The sequence below is a fragment of the Homo sapiens genome, chromosome 7 (assembly GCF_000001405.40).
Source record: "Homo sapiens chromosome 7, GRCh38.p14 Primary Assembly".
NCBI lineage: Eukaryota > Metazoa > Chordata > Mammalia > Primates > Hominidae > Homo > Homo sapiens.
This window is the reverse complement of record NC_000007.14, coordinates 149,893,168-149,910,946: the sequence shown is the minus strand read 5'-3', so window position 1 is coordinate 149,910,946 and position 17,779 is coordinate 149,893,168. Positions and strand designations below refer to the sequence as shown.

Below are 17,779 nucleotides of genomic sequence, written 5' to 3'. Positions count from 1 at the left end.
GGACTTGGCATTGCCCTGGCTCCTGTGGCACGAAGACCTCAGGTCCTGTGGAAGTTGAGCAGCAATGTGTGATTTGAGGGGAGCTGACTTGTTTTTTTTTTGGTTTCCCCAGACCTTATCCATTCACCGTGTGTTCAAAAATAGTAAAATTAGCATATGGTAAACCATACTTAAAAATTGTAAAATTAATTTATTAGAATTTAGAAATATTACCGGATCAAAAATTTAATATTAAGCATATTGAAATAATTTTTAAAATTGAATGAATAAAGTTAGTTTCAACACTGCTAGTGTTAGCAGTGTTGAAATAATAATAATAAGCATTATTACAGAATGACGGCTTGGTTGTCCAGACGTTACTGTTAATTAGAGTAGTCCTAATAAGAAAGGAAGCGCTGATGAGTCTTCTCGATTTACTTACCGCGTTTCAACTTTATTTCCAGCAGATGGTTCTGAGTGGTGGTTTTTTTCCCACCACCCCCCCTTTTATATTTAGGAGACTAGCAAATGCTTTTGGAACAGATAGTAGTATTTTGGCATTTGTTTTAGTTAAGACTTTTGGAATCTATCATGCAGTGTCTTGACAGAAAATGGGCTCCTTCTGAAATGAGATGATGAAGAGATGCTCTTGTCAGATGATTCTCAGGAGACGGCAGTAGCTGTTTCTTAGACATATGCCATGACATTTTAAGAAAATTATATAATCATTTTCTAACCGCCGCCCCCCACCCCGCAAAGTTCAGGAAGTTTGTATAAAAGTTCTAGGAAGTAAGTACACTTCTTAGAGAGCCAGTGTTGGAATTAGCCTGCATATGTAGATGGGAGTTCTTTTTCTGCAGTTCACTAATGTGGGCAGTTTAATCAACTTCTCAGTGCCTCCCTTTTCTCATTTGCAAAACAGGGATAATTTCTACTTTCTTCACAAGGTTTTTGTAAAGATAGAGTGTAAAGGCACTTTTAAAGTTATTAGGGATGCATAAATGTAATTTATATGTTAGTATATATGTGTTTCTTTTTTTCTACTAGAAACAAGCATAATATTTTAAGTTTTTGCAAAACTGCTTTCTTTGAAGTTAGTGTTTGATTCTCAGTGATCACAAGTTTGTTTTTTTTTTTTAATTTCAAGGAGTATTCTGAGGCTTGCTATTTTAGGACTTGGAGAGCTTATAATAAAAGACATTAATCCAATATAGACGAGAGTATTATTATCTAAACATGTGTTGATGACTTTGTGCTTTTAGGTATACCAAGCTTGGCTACGCAGGCAACACTGAGCCCCAGTTCATTATTCCTTCATGTAAGTAAAGCTCTATCCTTGGGTTTATAAAGGTTTGTGTTTCTCAGAATTGTTCTAAGTGTTCTGATTCTGTTTTTCAAGATATATTAATGTACTTACCATCTTCTTTTAGAAGACCGTTCTGGTTACCCCACAACTTTCTAGTCCTTCTGTTCCATTCTGATAAAGCCCCTTGTCACTGTCGTTGGAATCTCAGCTTGGATAGTCAGCAGGGTCCATTTATTCAATTATAAATGCCTGAACTGCCTAGAAAAAGTATATCTGGTCTTTAAGGTAAATTTGTAATTTTAAGTACATACAGTCTGTTAGCTTAGTAACTTAATGGACTGAATATCTCTTGTACTACACTATTCACTCTATTGAAAGATTCTTTTTTTTTTTTTTGGTGGAAATGATAGGCCTGATGACTGTTTTTATTGTGTTTAGTAGTATTCTGTTTTTGTTTAAGTTTTAATCGGTAGAGAATAACAGAAGTGTCCTTGCAGTTTGGCATGGGGCGTTCTACTCACTCTTTATTTCCTGTAGGAGTCTTCCCGAGGTTAGTCGGTTGTTAAAGGATAGGATTCTTGGCTGGGCGTGGTGGCTCACGCATGTAATCGCAGCACTTTGGGAGGCTGAGGCGGGTGGATCAGCTGAGGTCAGGAGTTCGAGACCAGCCTGACCAACATGTTGGAACCCCGTCTCTATCAAAAATACAAAAATTAGTTGGGTGTGGTGGTGCGTGCCTGTAATCCCAGCTACTCGGGAGGCTGAGGCAGGAGAATCACTTGAAGCTGGGGGGTGGAGGTTGCAGTGAGCCGGGATCGTGCCACTGCACTCCAGCCTGAGTGACAAGAGTGAAACTCCGTCTCAAAAAAAAAAAAAGATAGGATTCCCTGGAACTATCTATATTTCAGGTTATTATTTGGAAACAGTTTTCTAAAGAGTAGGATGTATTAATCAAGAGAAAGTGAAAGTCTGTTCTCTACATGTAGCTCTAATAAGATAAGTTGTGATTTTAGAAATTGTAAGTTTTTAGGGGGCCACGATGTTGTAATAACAGGCTTTGTGAACAGTGGGGAATGTCGACAGGGAAAAAACAGCTGGAGAGAAGGTGCTTGATTAGTGCTTATTCAGGGGAGGGCTAAAGCTGTATTTGGTGAATGTGGGTATTCACATCACTAGAAAGCGGACTCCAGATTCTTTGAGAACATTTAAGTAACCTCATTCCGGTTCCTTGCTTGCTGAAAAACTGGCCATGAATGTGATTTTCTAGATCTAAACGCTCTGCTGCCATGAATGGGTTATCCTGATGACAGGCATGATTGGTCTGCTGTGTCCTCATTTTGAATTCAGAAACGAGTGTCTTAGTGTGCTTGGGCTGCCATAAAAAATACTAAAGACTGGGGAAATTAATGTTATCATAGTCTGGAGGTTGGAAGTCCAAGATCAAGGTGCTGTCAGGGTTGGTTTCCCGTGAGGCCTCTCCCCACGGCCTGCAGAGGGCTGCCTTCTCTCTGTGTCCTCCCATGGTCTCATCTCTGTGTCAGTGTGTGGGGTTGCTGGGGACCTCGCTGGTGTCTCTTTCTCTGCTGATAAGGCCACCACTCTTATTGATGGGGACCCCACATTTACCCCAACCACCTCTCTAAAAGTTTCATCTCCAAATACAGTCACATTGAGGGTTAGGGCTTCTGCGTAGTGAATTCTGTGGGGACATGGTTCAGTCCATGACAATTGGTGTTCTGTAGGATGAATCAGTCTTTTGTGAATTTCATTAATGTGAATGCCCCAGAACCCGATCATTCCATGCTGAGTTGATAAATTGAACTCCCTGACTTTTCAAAGCAGAAAATTAGATTTTAACCTTGTTAAGTGTGACAGCTATAAAAGGCTGACCTTGCACCTTTTGCTTTAATGTGTTGCCATTTAAAGCTGTTGGTAGCATTCAGTTGGCTGCCCCATTTAACCTGTCATCATTAATAGAGACGGGAAGCGAAGACAGTTATTATCAGGATTTCATTCACTGTCAAAAAGCAGGAGAGCTCTCAGACTGCAGCTATCAGAACCTTAGCAGTCGCAGAAGCTAGGAGGATAATACAAATGTCAAAGAGGTGGGAGTAAAAGAACAGTTACATTGTTGGGCTGAGTTTGTTGAGAGAGAGAGAGAGAGAGAGAGAGAGAGAGAGAGAAGAGAAGAGAGGCAAGAGAGGCCCCAGGAGTCAAGGTTAGAAGATGTTCGGGCAGAAGTGAGGATACTGAGATGTGGAAGTGAGGCCCTGGGTCACCGTGGACAGTTGGCCTGCTGCGTGTCTTGGGGCTGGGAGTGGAACCATTTTGTGCAAGTGTGTGGATGTGTGTGCTGAGTGCTGGAGCAAGACTTTCTCTGCGTGGCATGGAGGTGAGGTGCTGTGGGGGTGTGGAGAAGCAGGGGTGCTGTGGGATGGTGGGGAGAGCGCCAGGAGGTGGAGACCTGTGGGGAAGGACTGGGTGGCAAGGGACTTGCAAGTGTCCTCTTAAGGAATTCTGTTTTTATTTTGCATACCAGGAATTTTCAGACTGTTTTTGAGGCTTCTCTCTGGGGCCTGGCCCACTGGACTAGAGAATCCTCAAGCCCCGTCCCTGCCTCCAGGGGCAGCTCTGCTTATGTCTGGTTTGTTGGAGCTTCTGTGCAGAATTTGCTTGGTTGCTTGAAGAAAGTTATTCCCTACTTTTTTTTCTTAAGTCGTTGGAGGATATTGGTGGTCCTGCCGCAGCTTCAGGCGGAGAATGTGTGGTGATCAGAGAATGTGTGGTGTAGAAAGAGGCTAGAGGAGGAGCAGCGAGGGGCTGAGAAAAAGGGCACACATTTTAGACATTCAATATTGGAAGAGTTCAGGTGTGAAGAGGTTTAAGGCCTAGGGAAGAGAGTTAGGCTGCAGCTAGAAAATATAACAGTGGGCTGGGCGCGGTGGCTCACGCCTGTAATCCTAACACTTTGGGAGGCCAAGGTGGGCGAATCACCTGAGGTCAGGGATTTGAGACCAGCCTGGCCAAAATGGCAACACCCCATCTCTACTAAAAATACAAAAATTAACCCGGGATGGTGGCGGGTGCCTGTAATCCCAGCTACTCGGGAGGCTGAGGCAGGAGACTCACTTGAATCCGGGAGGTGGAGGTTGCAGTGAGCCGAAATTGCACCACTGCACTCCAGCCTGGGGGACAGAGTGAGGCTCCATCTAAAAAAAAAAAAAAAAAAAAAAAAAAAAAAAAAAAAAAGAAACAAACCCCACACACAAAAACCCCATGGACTCACCACCAAGAATGAACACGTCATTACTGCATATTTCATCTCTGTATCAGAGTAAATGAATAAATGGCACATTATAGGTTGAGTATCAGCCCTCTCTTCTTTTCCTCTTTTCTTTCCTCTGGTGGATAGTTTCTGGTTGTGTTTCTACTCCATTTTTATCCGTATATTACATGTACAAAGATACATCGTTTTGTGAGTTCAAACATTTCCAATATGGTATCACATCGTAAATAACTTTCTGCCTGGTCTTTAAAAAGAAAAACCCTCAATATTATGTTTTTGTCATGTATCAGTGCTGACACATACAGATCCACATCAGAATTCTAACGCGAATATACAACGATTTTTTTCCTTTTGGGCATTTTTCACTTCTCTGTTATATAAAATGGTGCAGTAAAAATTTCCTTATGCGTATCTGCTAGTTTCCTGAGAGGAAATAATCAGAAATTGTTTTGTCACAGAGCGTACACCCCTTCATCCTTAGGCAACACCTAATTAGGTATTGCCACGTTACTCCTCCAGGAGGCTGTTCTGATGGATATCCCATCAGCAGTGTGTGAGAGTTTCTGTTTCGTAGATCCTTGATAATTGGTATTGTGTGACTCACATTTTGGTCAGTCTAATGAATGTAAAATGATGGCTCATTCAAAAAATTTCTATTTCTCAGATTACTGGTAAGGTTGAGCACCTTTCATTACCTGTTCATATCTTTGCCCATTTTTCTATTGCATTTTTAAGTGGAATTATAGGAACTCTTTGTAGAGGTTAAATATGAATTTTTCGCAGATACTTTTTTATTCTATGACATTTTTAAAAATTATCTTTTATCATCTAGAAATTTAAAATTTTGATATAGTAATACTTTTCAGTCTTTTTCTTTTATAATTTGTTTCTGTTTAAAAAATGCATTTCTACTCCAAAGTCATAAAGACTTTCTATATTTTTTCTAAGAAAATTTTAAGTTAATTTGTGAGTATGGTGTGAAGGAGATAGGTAATTTTGTTTTCCATGCGGAAGGCTAGTTGTCCCAACACTATTTATTAAAGAGTGCATTCCCATTTGGCACACCTCTTTGATCATATGGAGGTACCATTTATGCTTGGGAATGTTTTCGGTGTCTTTTGTTTCTTTGATGTATTTATCTGTGTTCCATACGTTCCATACTCACAGTGTTAAACACTATTACTTTATCATGTTTTAATCTAGTGGGTTCGATTCCTACTCATTTTTTTTCTCAGAATAGCTTTGGCTCTTACTCTTTAGTGTTCATTTTAGAATCAGCTTAAGTTCCATGAAAATTATAATGGGGTTTTGATTATTATTATTATTTTTATTTTTATTTTTATTTTTTTGAGATGGAGTTTCGCTCTTGTTGCCCAGGCTGGAGTGCAATGGCATGATCTCGGCTCATTGCAACCTCCGCCTCCCAGGTTCAAATGATTCTCCTGCCTCAGCCTCCCGAGTAGCTGGAATTACAGGCGCCCACCACCACGTCCAGCTAATTTTTGTATTTTTAGTAGAGACATCCAGCTAATTTTTGTATTTTTAGTAGAGATGGGGTTTCACCATGTTGGCCAGGCTGGTCTGGAACTCCTGACCTCATGATCCTCCTGCCTTGGCCTCCCAAAGTGCTGGAATTACAGGTGTGAGCCACTGTGCCCGCCCTTGATTATTATTTATAGATTAATTGGGAAAAAATTTGACATCAAATTTGACTTTCGTGGATACGAATTGAGTATTCCTATCCTTGAAGATGGTATATGTGTTTTATTGTTTATTCATGTCTCTTGTGTTTTTCAGTAGTGTTCTAATGTTCTAAAGTTTTTTTTGTTGTTGTTGTTGTTTTTTGAGATGGAGTCTTGCTCTGTTGCCCAGGCTGGAGTGCAGTGGCACAGTCTCAGCTCACTGCAACCTCTGCCTCCCGGGTTCAAGCGATTCTCCTGCCCTCAGCCTCCCGAGTAGTTGGGACTACAGGTGCACGCCACCATGCTCAGCTAATTTTTGTATTTTTAGTAGAGACGGGATTTCACTATGTTGGCCAGGCTGGTCTTGAACTCCTGACCTTGTGATTCACCCACCTCAGCTCCCCAGCGTGCTGGGATTACAGGAGTGAGCCACTGCGCCTGGCCTTAAAGTATTCTTTAAAAAGCTCTTACAGGCCAGGCGCAGTGGTTCACACCTGTAATTCCAGCATTTTGGGAGGGCTAAGGTGGGTGGATCACTTGAGGCCACGAGTTAGAGACCAGCCCAACCAACATGGTGAAACCTTGTCTCTACTAAAAAATACAAAAATTAGCCGGATGTGGTGGCTCACACCTGTAATCCCAGCTACTTGGAAGGCTGAGGCATGAGAATTGCTTGAGCCTGGGAGTGGAGGTTGCAGTGAGCTGAGATTGCGTCACCGCACTCCAGCCTGGGCAGCAGAACCAGACGCTGTCTCAAAACAACAACAACAACAACAACAACAACAACAACCAGCAACAACAAACAACAACAACAACAACAACAACAACGCCCTTACACTCGTACACAGAGGGCTGGACACAGTGGCTCACACCTGTAATTGCAGCACTTTGGTAGGCCGAGGTGGGAGGATTGCTTGAGCCCAGGAGTTTGAGACCAGCCTTGGCAACATAGTGAGACCCTGTCTCTACCAGAAATAAAAATAAATTAGCTACGTGTAGTGACACTCACCTGTGGTCCCAGCTACTCGGGAGGCTGAGGTGGGATGATTGCTTGAGCCCAGGAGATCGAGGCTGGAGTGAGTTGTGATTGCGCCACTACACTCCTGCCTGGGTGACATAGTGAGACTTTGTCTCAAAAACAAGCAAAACCCCAAGACAACTCTTCCATAGTTTTTGCTAGCTTTATTTTTAGGTACCTTTAAGTTTTCGTTGCTGTCGTCAAAATATTTAAAAAATTCTATTTTCTAATTCATTATTGCCAGCATATGGGAATGTTACTGAGGTTTGTAAGATTTTTTTTTAATCCGGCAACCTTTATTGACCTCTCTTATTTAACAGTCTGCACATTCTTTAAAGTTTTCTATGCAGACTATTGTATTGCCTTCAAATAGTGGTTATTTTGTCTCTTCCAATTCTAACACTTCGTGTTTCTTTTCTTGGTCTTGCTGTGTTGGCTAGAACTTCTATTAAAATAGTGATCAGAACTGCAGACAGCAGGTGCTTTTTTGACTTTCTGACTTTAAAGAGAATGGGATTTTATTATAGTACTCTACTAGTGATAACTGTAGGTTTTTGTGGAGATGCTTTTTCAGATTAAAACAGTGCTCTTCTATTCCTAGTTTAATCTGAGGGTTTTTTTTAATTAAAAAAATCATGAATGACAGTGAGTATTGACATTTAGTCAAAGCTTTTCTGTTATTGAGATGATCATATGGTTTTGGACATTTGTACTCTTTCTTTCTTTTTTTTTTTTTTTTTGAGACACTGTACTTTAAGGCTGGAGTGTAGTGGCTTGATCATGACTCACTGCAGCCTTGACTTTCCAGGTTCAAGAGATCCTCCCACCTCAGCCTCCCAAGTAGCTGGGACCACACGTGGGAGCCATCATGTCTGGCTAATTTTTAAATTTTTCATAGAGATGGGGTCTCATTATATTGCCTGTCCTGGTCTCGAACTTGTGGGCTCATGCAATCCTCCCACCTTGGTCTCTCAAAGTGTTGAAATTATAGGTGTGAGCCACCCCACCTACTCTTAATAGGAGGAGTTACTTTAATACATTTTCAAATATTGAACAGTTATTTCTTTTCTTTTTTTTCTTCTTGTAGAGATGGGGGTCTCTCTTGTTGCCCAGGCTGGTCTCAAACTCCTGGCCTCAAGTGATCCTCCTGCCTCAGCCTCCCAGAGCACTGGGATTACAGGAATGAGCCACCTTGTCCAGCTTGAACAATTATTTCATTTTTGGGATAAATCCTACTTGGCTATGAAATATGAAGTACATGCTGAACTGTAATTGCAAATATTTACTTGAGAACTTTGCATCAATATTCAAAAGTGAGATTGGACTGTAATTTTGATTTCTTGTTTTTGTCTGGTTGTGTATCAGGATTATATGGGCTTCATAAAATGAGTTTGTTAGCTTTCTTTTTTTATTCTCTGGAACAGTTTGCATAAGATAGGAATTGTTTATTCCTTCAAGCTTTAGTAAAAATATCTAACAGTCTTTTGAGAAATATACTGGATTAAAAAAATTACTATTGTTGTGTCTCTCAACTGTTGTAGCAAATGTTCTAAAGTATCTGTGTCTTAAGTCCTTAGATACACTCTTCTTGATAACCTTCCTTAGATTGCCCTCAGATGACTTTTTTGGCATTTAGGAAAGTAGTCATGTCTTTTCTGGTTACCCACATCCTATAATCCTATACCCAAACACATTTTTTTTCAACTGCAGAGCTTGTTGGAAAAAAGAATTGTTCTTTTTTTTTTTTTTTTTTTTTTTTTTTTTTGAGACAGAGTCTTGCTCTGTCGCCCAGGCTGGAGTACAGTGGCACGATCTTGGCTCACTGCAACCTTCACCTCCTGGGTTCAAGCAATTCTGCCTCAGCCTCCCAAGTAGCTGGGATTACCGACATGTGCCACCATGCCTGGCTGATTTTTGTAATTTTAATAGAGACAGGGTTTCACTGTGTTGCCCAGTCTAGTCTTGAACTCCTGGCCTCAAGCTATCCACCTGCCTCAGTCTGTCAAAGTGATTACAGGCGTGAGCCACTGTGCCGGCCCATTGTTCTTTATTATTAAGTTTAATCTTATTAGTTTTGATTCATCATTATAGCTGAAGTGTTTTATTTTCTAGTTTAAGTCATTTATAAACTCTGTATTTAAAATATTTTATTTTGAAATAATTATAGATTAATAGGAAGTTGCAAAGATAGTTTAGAGAGATCCTGTGTACACTTTTCCTATTTTGCCCCCAAAGGTTACATCTTACAAATTGTAGTGCAATGTTATAACCAGAAGTGAGACCCTGTCTCTAAAAAATAAAAACAAAAACAGACCAGCCCCAGGAAACGGATGTTGGTACAATGTGTGTGTATAGTTCTATGTCATTGTAATTCTACCTGTAGATTCCTTGAACTACCACTGTAATAAAGTTACAGAATTATTTTCTCACTACCAAGATCTCTCTGGTGCTATTCCTATATAATTACACTTACTCCTCTCCCTCCACTGTTCTTAACCACTACTCTGTTTTCATCTCTATAATTTTATCATCTGCATAATATATGTTCTTCAATAGATTAATATTTAAACTGACGGTGCTACATCATACACTAAATACTACTCAGCAGTAATGCTACTACTCATACAGTGTGTGCCTTTTTTTGAGACAGAATCTCGCTTTGTTGCCCAGGCTGGAGTGCAGTGGTGTGATGTCGGCTTACTGTGACCTCTGCCTTCTGAGTTCAAGCGATTCTCCTGCCTCAGCCTCCTGAGTAGCTGGGATTACAGGTGCCCACCACCACGCCCGGCTAATTTTTGTATTTTTAGTAGAGATGGGTTTTCACCATGTTGGCCAGGCTGGTCTCAAACTCCTCAAGTGATCCACCTGCCTCGGCCTTCCAAAGTGCTGGGATTACAGGTGTGAGCCACTGTGCCTGGCCCCCCATTTCTAATATAATTGTCTTAAATCTTTCCTTGATATACATTGAATCTCATGAGATTCACATCAGTTATAATTTTTGCTTCAACTGCCAGACATAATTTAGAAAACGCAAGAGGAAAAGGAAAATAATTATGATCCATATTTTTGATCTTTCCATTGTTCTTTCTTTTTTCTTGATGTACCCAAATTCCTTCTTTTATCATTTCTTTTCTCTTTAGAGAACTTCCTTTAGCCATTCTTTTTAATATTTATTTATTTATTCTTAATTAAAGAAACATAGGCAGGGCACGGTGGCTTATGCCTGTAATCTCAGCACTTTGGGAGGCAGAGGCAGGCGGGTCATGAGGTCAAGAGATTGAGACCATCCTGGCCAACATGGTGAAACCCTGTCTCTACTAAAAATACAAAAATTAGCTGGGCGTGGTGGCGTGCACCTGTAGTCCCAGCTATTTCGGGAGGCTGAGGCAGGAGAATCGCTTAAACCCGGGAGGTGGAGGTTGCAGTGAGCTGAGATCGCGCCACTGCACTCCAGCCTGGGTGACAGAGCGATACTCCATCTCAAAAACAAACCAAAAAAACAAAAACAAAAACAACAACAACAAAAATAATGGACTGCCTGAACATCCCAAGCCATTCTTTTGAAGTAGGTGTGCTGTTGACAAATTGTGTTAGTTTTATTTCAACGGAAAGTCTTGATTTGCTCTATTCTCAGGGGATATTTTTGCTGAACATAGAATTCTGGATGGACAGTTCTTTCAGCACAAAAATGTTGTGGTACCTTTTTTTTTGGTGTGTGTGTGTCAAGATTTCTGATGAGAAATGTCCTTGGAAGCTGAATTTTTTTTTTTTTTTGGTCTTTAGTTTTTAGAAGTTTGAGTATAATGTGTTTTGGAATGGATTTTTTTTGTTTTGTTTTGTTTCGGGTTAACTTATTTGGGGTTTGTTCAGTATTGAATCTATTAGTTTATTTCTTTTTCTCTTCCCTTTTTTTTTTCTTGCCAAATTTGGCAGTTTTAGCCATTGTTTCTTTGCATACCTTCTGGTCCTGCCTTCTTTCTCTTTTCCTTCTGGGAATTGTAATCCACAAATGCTAAATCTTTTCTTATATATCCCAGATGTCCCTGAGGCTCTGGGCTCTGTTTTTTTTTTTTACTTCTTCCAGTCTATTTTCTGTCTTTTGTTTGGACTGGGTAATGTCTGTTATTCTGTCTTCAAGTTCAGTGTTTCTTTCCTCTGTCCTTTTCTTCTGTTGAGGCCATCTCTTAAGATTTTTATTTCAGTTATTGTGATTTTTAATTCTAGAATTTCCATATGGTTTTGTCTTTATATCTTGTTTCTTTGCTGTGGCTTTGTATTTGCTTGCTGAGACTTCCTTTTATTTTCCATTTGTTTCAAGAGTCAAGAGTATTTGAGATTGCTCATTGAGGCATTTTGTGATGGCTCCTAAAATCCTTGTTTGATAATTATAATGTCTGTGTTATCTCGGTGGCATTGTCTATTCATTGTCTTTTCTCTTTTCAGTTGAGATGTTACTGGTTTTTGCCACGGTGAGAGTTTTAAAGTGGAAACCTAGATACTTTGGGTATTATGTTATGAGGTTCTTATTTTAATTTTGTGTTTTAGCAAGTCTTTTCTGACACTACTCCAGCAGGGGAATGGGGATACCACTTCATTATTGCCAGTGTGGGGGTCAAAGTTGAGGTTCTCCTTTTGGCCTTTGTTGACACTCACTTGGGGAGGAGCTCCATGTTACTGCTGGGCCGGGGTGGAAGTGGGGACTGTGGTATGTTGTGCTGTACTAGAGATAGCTTGGGTGACATAGATTATTTAGACAGATTTCTCCATTGTGTTCATAAGAACTGTTTGGGCCACATCTTGTTCCATAGGTATAGACAAAATATTTGGAATATAAGCTCTATATACTTTTATTCTCTTGTATGGATACAGTTGCTTCCTGTATAGTTGTTAAAAGAAGTATACTTTGTGTGTGTGTGTGATGTGTTTTAATTTATTTTTATTTTTATTCTTTTTGATTATTATTTTTTTTTACACAGAGTCTTGCTCTGTTGCCAGGCTGGAGTGCAGTGGCGTGATCTCGGCTCACTGCAACCTCCACCTCCTGGGTTCAAGCAATTCTCCTGTCTCACTCAGCCTCCTGAGTAGCTGGGACTACAGGTGCGCACCACCATGCCCAGCTAATTTTTGTATTTTTAGTAGAGTTGTGGTTTCATCATGTTGGCCAGGATGGTCTCGATCTCTTGACCTTGTGATCTGCCCACCTCAGCCTCCCACAGTGTTGGGATTACAGGCGTGAGCCACTGCGCCCGGCTATCTTTACAATCTTTTATATTGACTTGACAGTTTAATTCTGGATTCACACACAATTAAGTTTGATCTTGCCTAGAGGATAGTATCTGTCACTTGTGTTGGCACATTGGCAGTGGCCCTTTGGAATACCAGACTTGTACATCAGATGGTTCTGTGTGGTGTCAGTCAGTGTGCCATTGAATGGTGTGGTCAGAGATGGATGTTATCTATTTCTACAGATCACCTCAGTCGTCGTGGCCCACAAGACTTTTCTAGCCCATGTTCAGCCCAAGATCTCCAATGTCCTCTTCACTTCTCATTTCAGCCCGTGTTTCCACTTCACTCGTGCTTTCTTCAGTTCTGCTGAAGTTCTGTCCTTTACTTGTGTGCCACTGTTTATAATTTGATATCTTTGAGACTTTAAATGTGGCAGTGAGTTGCAATGAGAAAAGGAGGTGGGGAAAGTGATTTCTGCCCTGTGTCTTTTTCTTTTCACCTTTTTATCCTGTTACCTCAAGATGCCCTTCTGAGAAAAAGGCTTCAGTTTCACTCTTTTTTATTTTTTTTTTGAGATGGAGTCTCACTTTGTCACCCAGGCTGGAGTGCAGTGGCATGATCTCAGCTCACTGCAACCCCTGCCACCTGAGTTCAAGCAATTCTCCTGCCTCAGCCTCCTGAGTAGCTGGGATTACAGGCATGGGCCACCACGCCCAGCTAATTTTTGTATTTTTTATTTTATTTTAAGAACAGATGGGGTTTCACCATGTTGGCCAGGGTGGTCTTGAATTCTTGACCTCAGGTGATCTGCCCACCTTGGCCTCCCACAGTGCTGGGATTACAGGCGTGAGCCACTGCTCCTGGCCTCAAATTCACTCTTATAGCTGTGTTGTTATTCTTCATTTGTAGTAAATTGGAGGTTCCAGATAATCTACTTTTAGAAATAATTGTATATGTTTACTAATTTGTCTTGGAACAAATTTTAATATAAATTTCTAGCTAGCTTAATAGCTCTCTGTTTGAGAAAATTCTATAGCCTGACTTACCTTGAAAACTTTTCATTTGGAAATGAGGCATTAAAGGTAAATGATTTTGAGAGGTAACAGGTTAAATGCTTTCGCTCACAAACCAAAGATTAGCTTTTACTTTTATTATGTTTGTTTAGCTTCTTTTTAATAGCTGAAAAACCAATATACCCAGTAGAAGCAGCAAAAGTCACCAGTAGCTCTACCATCCATGGTTAACCAGTATTAATCCTTTGTCTGGCCATCTTATTTTTCTGAATTTACATTAAACACACCCGTGCAAACTCTGTCTGAAGTGGAGTCATACTGTGGATATTCTGAAAGGCAACTTAGTAGCTCTTGTTTTTTTTTTTTTTTTTTTTTGGAGACGGTGTCTTGCTCTGTCACCCAGGCTGGAGTGCAGTGGCGCGATCTCAGCTCACTGCAACCTCCACCTCCCAAGTTCAAGTGATTCTCCTGCCTCAGCCTCCCAAGTAGCTGGGATTATAGGTGCCTGCCCCCATGCCTGGCTAATTTTTGTATTTTTAAGGAGAGATGAGGTTTCACCATGTTGGTCAGGCTGGTCTTGAACTCCTGACCTCAGGTGATCTACCCGCCTCGACCTCCTAAAGTGCTGGGATTACAGGCGTGAGCCACCGCGCCCAGCCTTAGCAGCTCTTTCTAAGGATTTGATATAATTTATTTACCTGATCTCTGATTTCAGGTCAGTTAACTTTCCTCCTTCAATTTGTTGCTATTATAATTAGTTCTACAAAGAGTGTTGTTATGTATATACTTTTATTTACTCAATGATTATTTCTTTAGAATGAAATTCTAGAAGTGGAATTGCTGGATAAACATATTATAATATTTTTCTCAGTTCTTCTCTGGAATGGTTGTATCTGGGTACCTGTTCAGTTCCGCCAGTCACAAATTTGGTCTCCAATTTAGTATAGATAATATTGTTTATTGAGTACTATTCTCTACCACAGTCTCTGCTAAACACTTTGTAAACATTGTTCCATTTAATACTCACCACCCTGATAGGTAGTGGTATATGCATTTTGGAGGAGAGAGCACTGAGGGTTAATAATAACTTTCCTCAAGTCAGCTAACTAGTAAGTGCTCAAACCTAGGTTTTCATAACTTCAGAGTCTGTGTGCTCATTCATGTAGTAGCTGTGCAGAAAAATTAACTTGGCTGGACTGTTTGAAGAAATTAGTTCATATCAGAAACTGTTTTTTCTTTGTTTGTTTTGTCTGTGACTGGGTCTTGTTCTGTTACCCAGGCTGGAGTGTGGTGGCGTGATCATGGCTCACTGCAGCCTCAATTTCCCAATCCCCTTGTCTCAGGCTCCCAAGTAGTTGGGACTCCCGGCTAGTTTTTGTGTTTTTTTTTTTTTTTTTTTTTTGTAGAGACAGGTTTTCACCATGTTGCCCAGACTGGTCTCAAACTCCCAGACTTAAGCAATCTGCCTGTCTCGACCACCCAAAGTGCTGGGATTACAGGTGTGAGCCACTGTGCCTGGCCTAGAAACATTATTTACTCTCTCCTGAAATTCAGTCACAAGGATTTTAAAAATTTTTTTAATTAAAAACAGTTTTTAAAAATTTAAACTTTTTTGATATAGGGTCTCACTCTGTTGCTCAGGCTGGAGTGCAGTGGGGCTATCATAGCTCATTGCAGCCTCAACCTCCTGGGCTCAAGTGATCCTTCCAAGTAGCTAGGACTACAGGCATGTGTGCCATTGTGCCTGGCTAATTTTTTAGCTTTTTTAGAGATGGGGTCTTGCTATGTTTCCCAGGCTGTTCTGAAACTCCTGAGCTCAAGCTATCCTCCTGCCTTAGCCTCGTGAGTCTCTGGGATTACATGCATGAGCCATGAGCCACCACAGCTGGCTCTGATTTTATTTTTTTAAATTGACAGATAACATTGTGTGTTTTTATCGTGTATAATATGATGTTTTGAAGTCTATATACATTGTGAATGGTTAAATCTAGCTAATTAACAAATGCATTACCTCATATAGTCATCATTTTTGTGGTGAGAGCACATAACATGTACTCTACATTTTTTAAGAATGCAATATATCGTCATTAACCGTTGTCTCCTCGTTGTATGCTAGATCTCTTGTAATTTATTTCTCCTATCTAACTGTAGTTACGTATTTTTTGACCAACATCTTGTCCTTCCCATCCCCGAACAGCCTCAGCCCCCTGTAACCACCATTCTATAGCCTACCTCTATGAGATCAACTTTTTAAGATCCTGCATATGAATGAGACCATGTGATATTTGTCTTTCTGTGCCTGGCTTATTTTACTTAACATAATGCCCTCGAGGTTCATCCATGTTGTGGGCAGATGGCAGAATTTCCTTTTTTTTTTTAAATGGCTGAATAGTATTCCACTGTTTATAAAGCCACATTTTCTTTATCTGTTCATCCGTTAATGGACACGTAGGTTGATTCCAGATCTTGGTTATTGTGAATAGTGCTACAGTAAACATGGGAGTGCAGATAGCTCTTTAACATACTGATTTCATTTCCTTTGGATATATGCCCAGTAGTGGGATTGTTGGATCGTATGGTAGTTCTATTTTTAATTGTTTGAGGAGCCTCTATACTGTTTTCCATAATGGCTCTACTGATTTGCATTCCCACCTATAGTGTATAAAGGTTCTCTTTTTGTCACACCATCACCAACACTTATTATCTTTTGCTTTTTTGATAATTGCCATTCTCAGTGGGGTGAGGTGATTGATATTGTGGGTTTGATTTGCATTTCCCCGATGATTAGTGATATTGAGCATTTTTTCATATACCTGTTGGCCATTTGTATGTCTTCTTTTGAGAAATGTCCATTCAGGTCTCTTGCTCATTTTTCACTTGGGTTATTTGTTTTTTTTATTGCTGTTTGAGTTCTTTATATATTTTGATTATTAATCTTTTGTCAGGTAGATAGTTTGCAAATAGTTTCTCCCATTCTATAGATTGTCTCTTCACTCTGTTGATTGTTTTCTTTGCTGTGCAGAAGACTTTTAGTTTGATGTAATTCCAGTTATCTATTTTTGTTACCTGTGCTCTTGAGGTCTTGTCCAAAAAAATCCTTGCCCAGACCAATGTCATAAAGCATTTTACCGTTTTCTTCTAATAGTTCCACAGTTTCAGGTCTTACATTGAAGTCTTTAATCCATTTTGAGTTAATTTTTGTATATGGTTGAGAGATAAGCATTCATTTTCATTCTTCTGCATGTGGATATCCAGTTTCCCCAGTAACATTTACACTTTGCCCGTTGTGTAAAATCAGTTGAGTGTAAATACATGGATTCATTTCTGGGCTCTTTGTTCCACTGGTTTATATGTCTGTTTTTATACCAGTACCAAGCTGTTTTGATTACTGTAGCTTTATAGTGTACTTTGAAGTCAGGTAGTGTGATCCCTCCAGCTTTCTTCTTTTTGCTTAAGATTCCCTTGACTGTTTGGGGTCTCTTGTGGTTCCATGTGAACTTAGGATTATTTTTTCTATTTCTGTGAAGGATGCCATTGGTATTTTGATAAGGACTGTACTGACTCTGTACATCACTTTGTGTAGTAAGTCACAAAGATTTTGATTCAGAGAAATTTTATCTAGCACTTACATTTGTATAGCTACAGAGTCGTACTTTCATCAGAAATACATTAAGGACAGTGAGAAGCCATTAGTATATTTATGGAATTAGGTTTATGTTAGAATTATTTAGGTATAGTTTGACCATTTTTCAAACCCACAATAAATATTTTAGTGGAGTAAAATGTTAATTTAACAAATATTTCTCTAATGTCTATTCTGATAGCCAGCGGCCTGCTTAGGTGCAAATCCTGTCTGTGTCTTAGAAGCTGTGTGACCTTGATAGATTGTTAAGCTTCCATTTCTGTGAAATGCAGATAATAGTACCTGTCTCATAAGCTATTGTGAGGATTTAATAAAATAGTGTGCAAAAGGAAACACTTAGCAGAGTGTTCAATAAATGTAAACTTTTATTATTATTATTAGTTATTGACATCTGAGCCTCCCACTGGAGAGACAGTAAAAGATGGATGTTATCTGACATCAAGGAATCTACAGTTTGGTAGACTGATCTTAAACAATTGTAATTCATCCAGAAAAATGCCTTAATGCAGGAATAAAAGGGCCAGTGGAAGCATCAAACACGTGTACAGAACTGCAGGTTGTCAAGGAAGCCCTCAAGTGAGGAGATGGTGTTGATGTCGAGACCTGATGGATGAAAATAGCTCATG

At 39.9% G+C, this 17,779-nt stretch overlaps 1 protein-coding gene across 21 annotated transcripts in view, besides 1 other annotated feature; it reads left to right on the top strand.

Moving 5' to 3' along the window:
* ACTR3C (actin related protein 3C) overlaps positions 1–17,779 on the top strand; it is a 442,186-nt gene that overhangs the window by 412,599 nt on the left and 11,808 nt on the right. For 15 of the 21 annotated variants that reach the window (NR_147012.2, XR_007060145.1, NR_147015.2 and 12 more), the window contains one exon: positions 1,242–1,297. The exons of the other annotated variants lie outside the window; for them this stretch is intronic. Coding sequence is in view for 5 of the 15 variants with exons in the window: in NM_001351028.2 (NP_001337957.1) it covers positions 1,242–1,297 (56 nt within the window). In the remaining 10 variants the exon portion in view is untranslated. The remainder of the gene's footprint in view (positions 1–1,241; positions 1,298–17,779) is intronic. 21 annotated transcript variants of the gene reach the window in all.
* Positions 3,424–3,923: an enhancer, noted in NCBI's record as "H3K27ac hESC enhancer chr7:149604113-149604612 (GRCh37/hg19 assembly coordinates)". NCBI's record gives its function as "activates a minimal SCP1, AML or CMV promoter by ChIP-STARR-seq in naive H9 embryonic stem cells {active_cell/tissue: H9 hESC(naive)}" and the evidence as "EXISTENCE:reporter gene assay evidence [ECO:0000049][PMID:30033119]".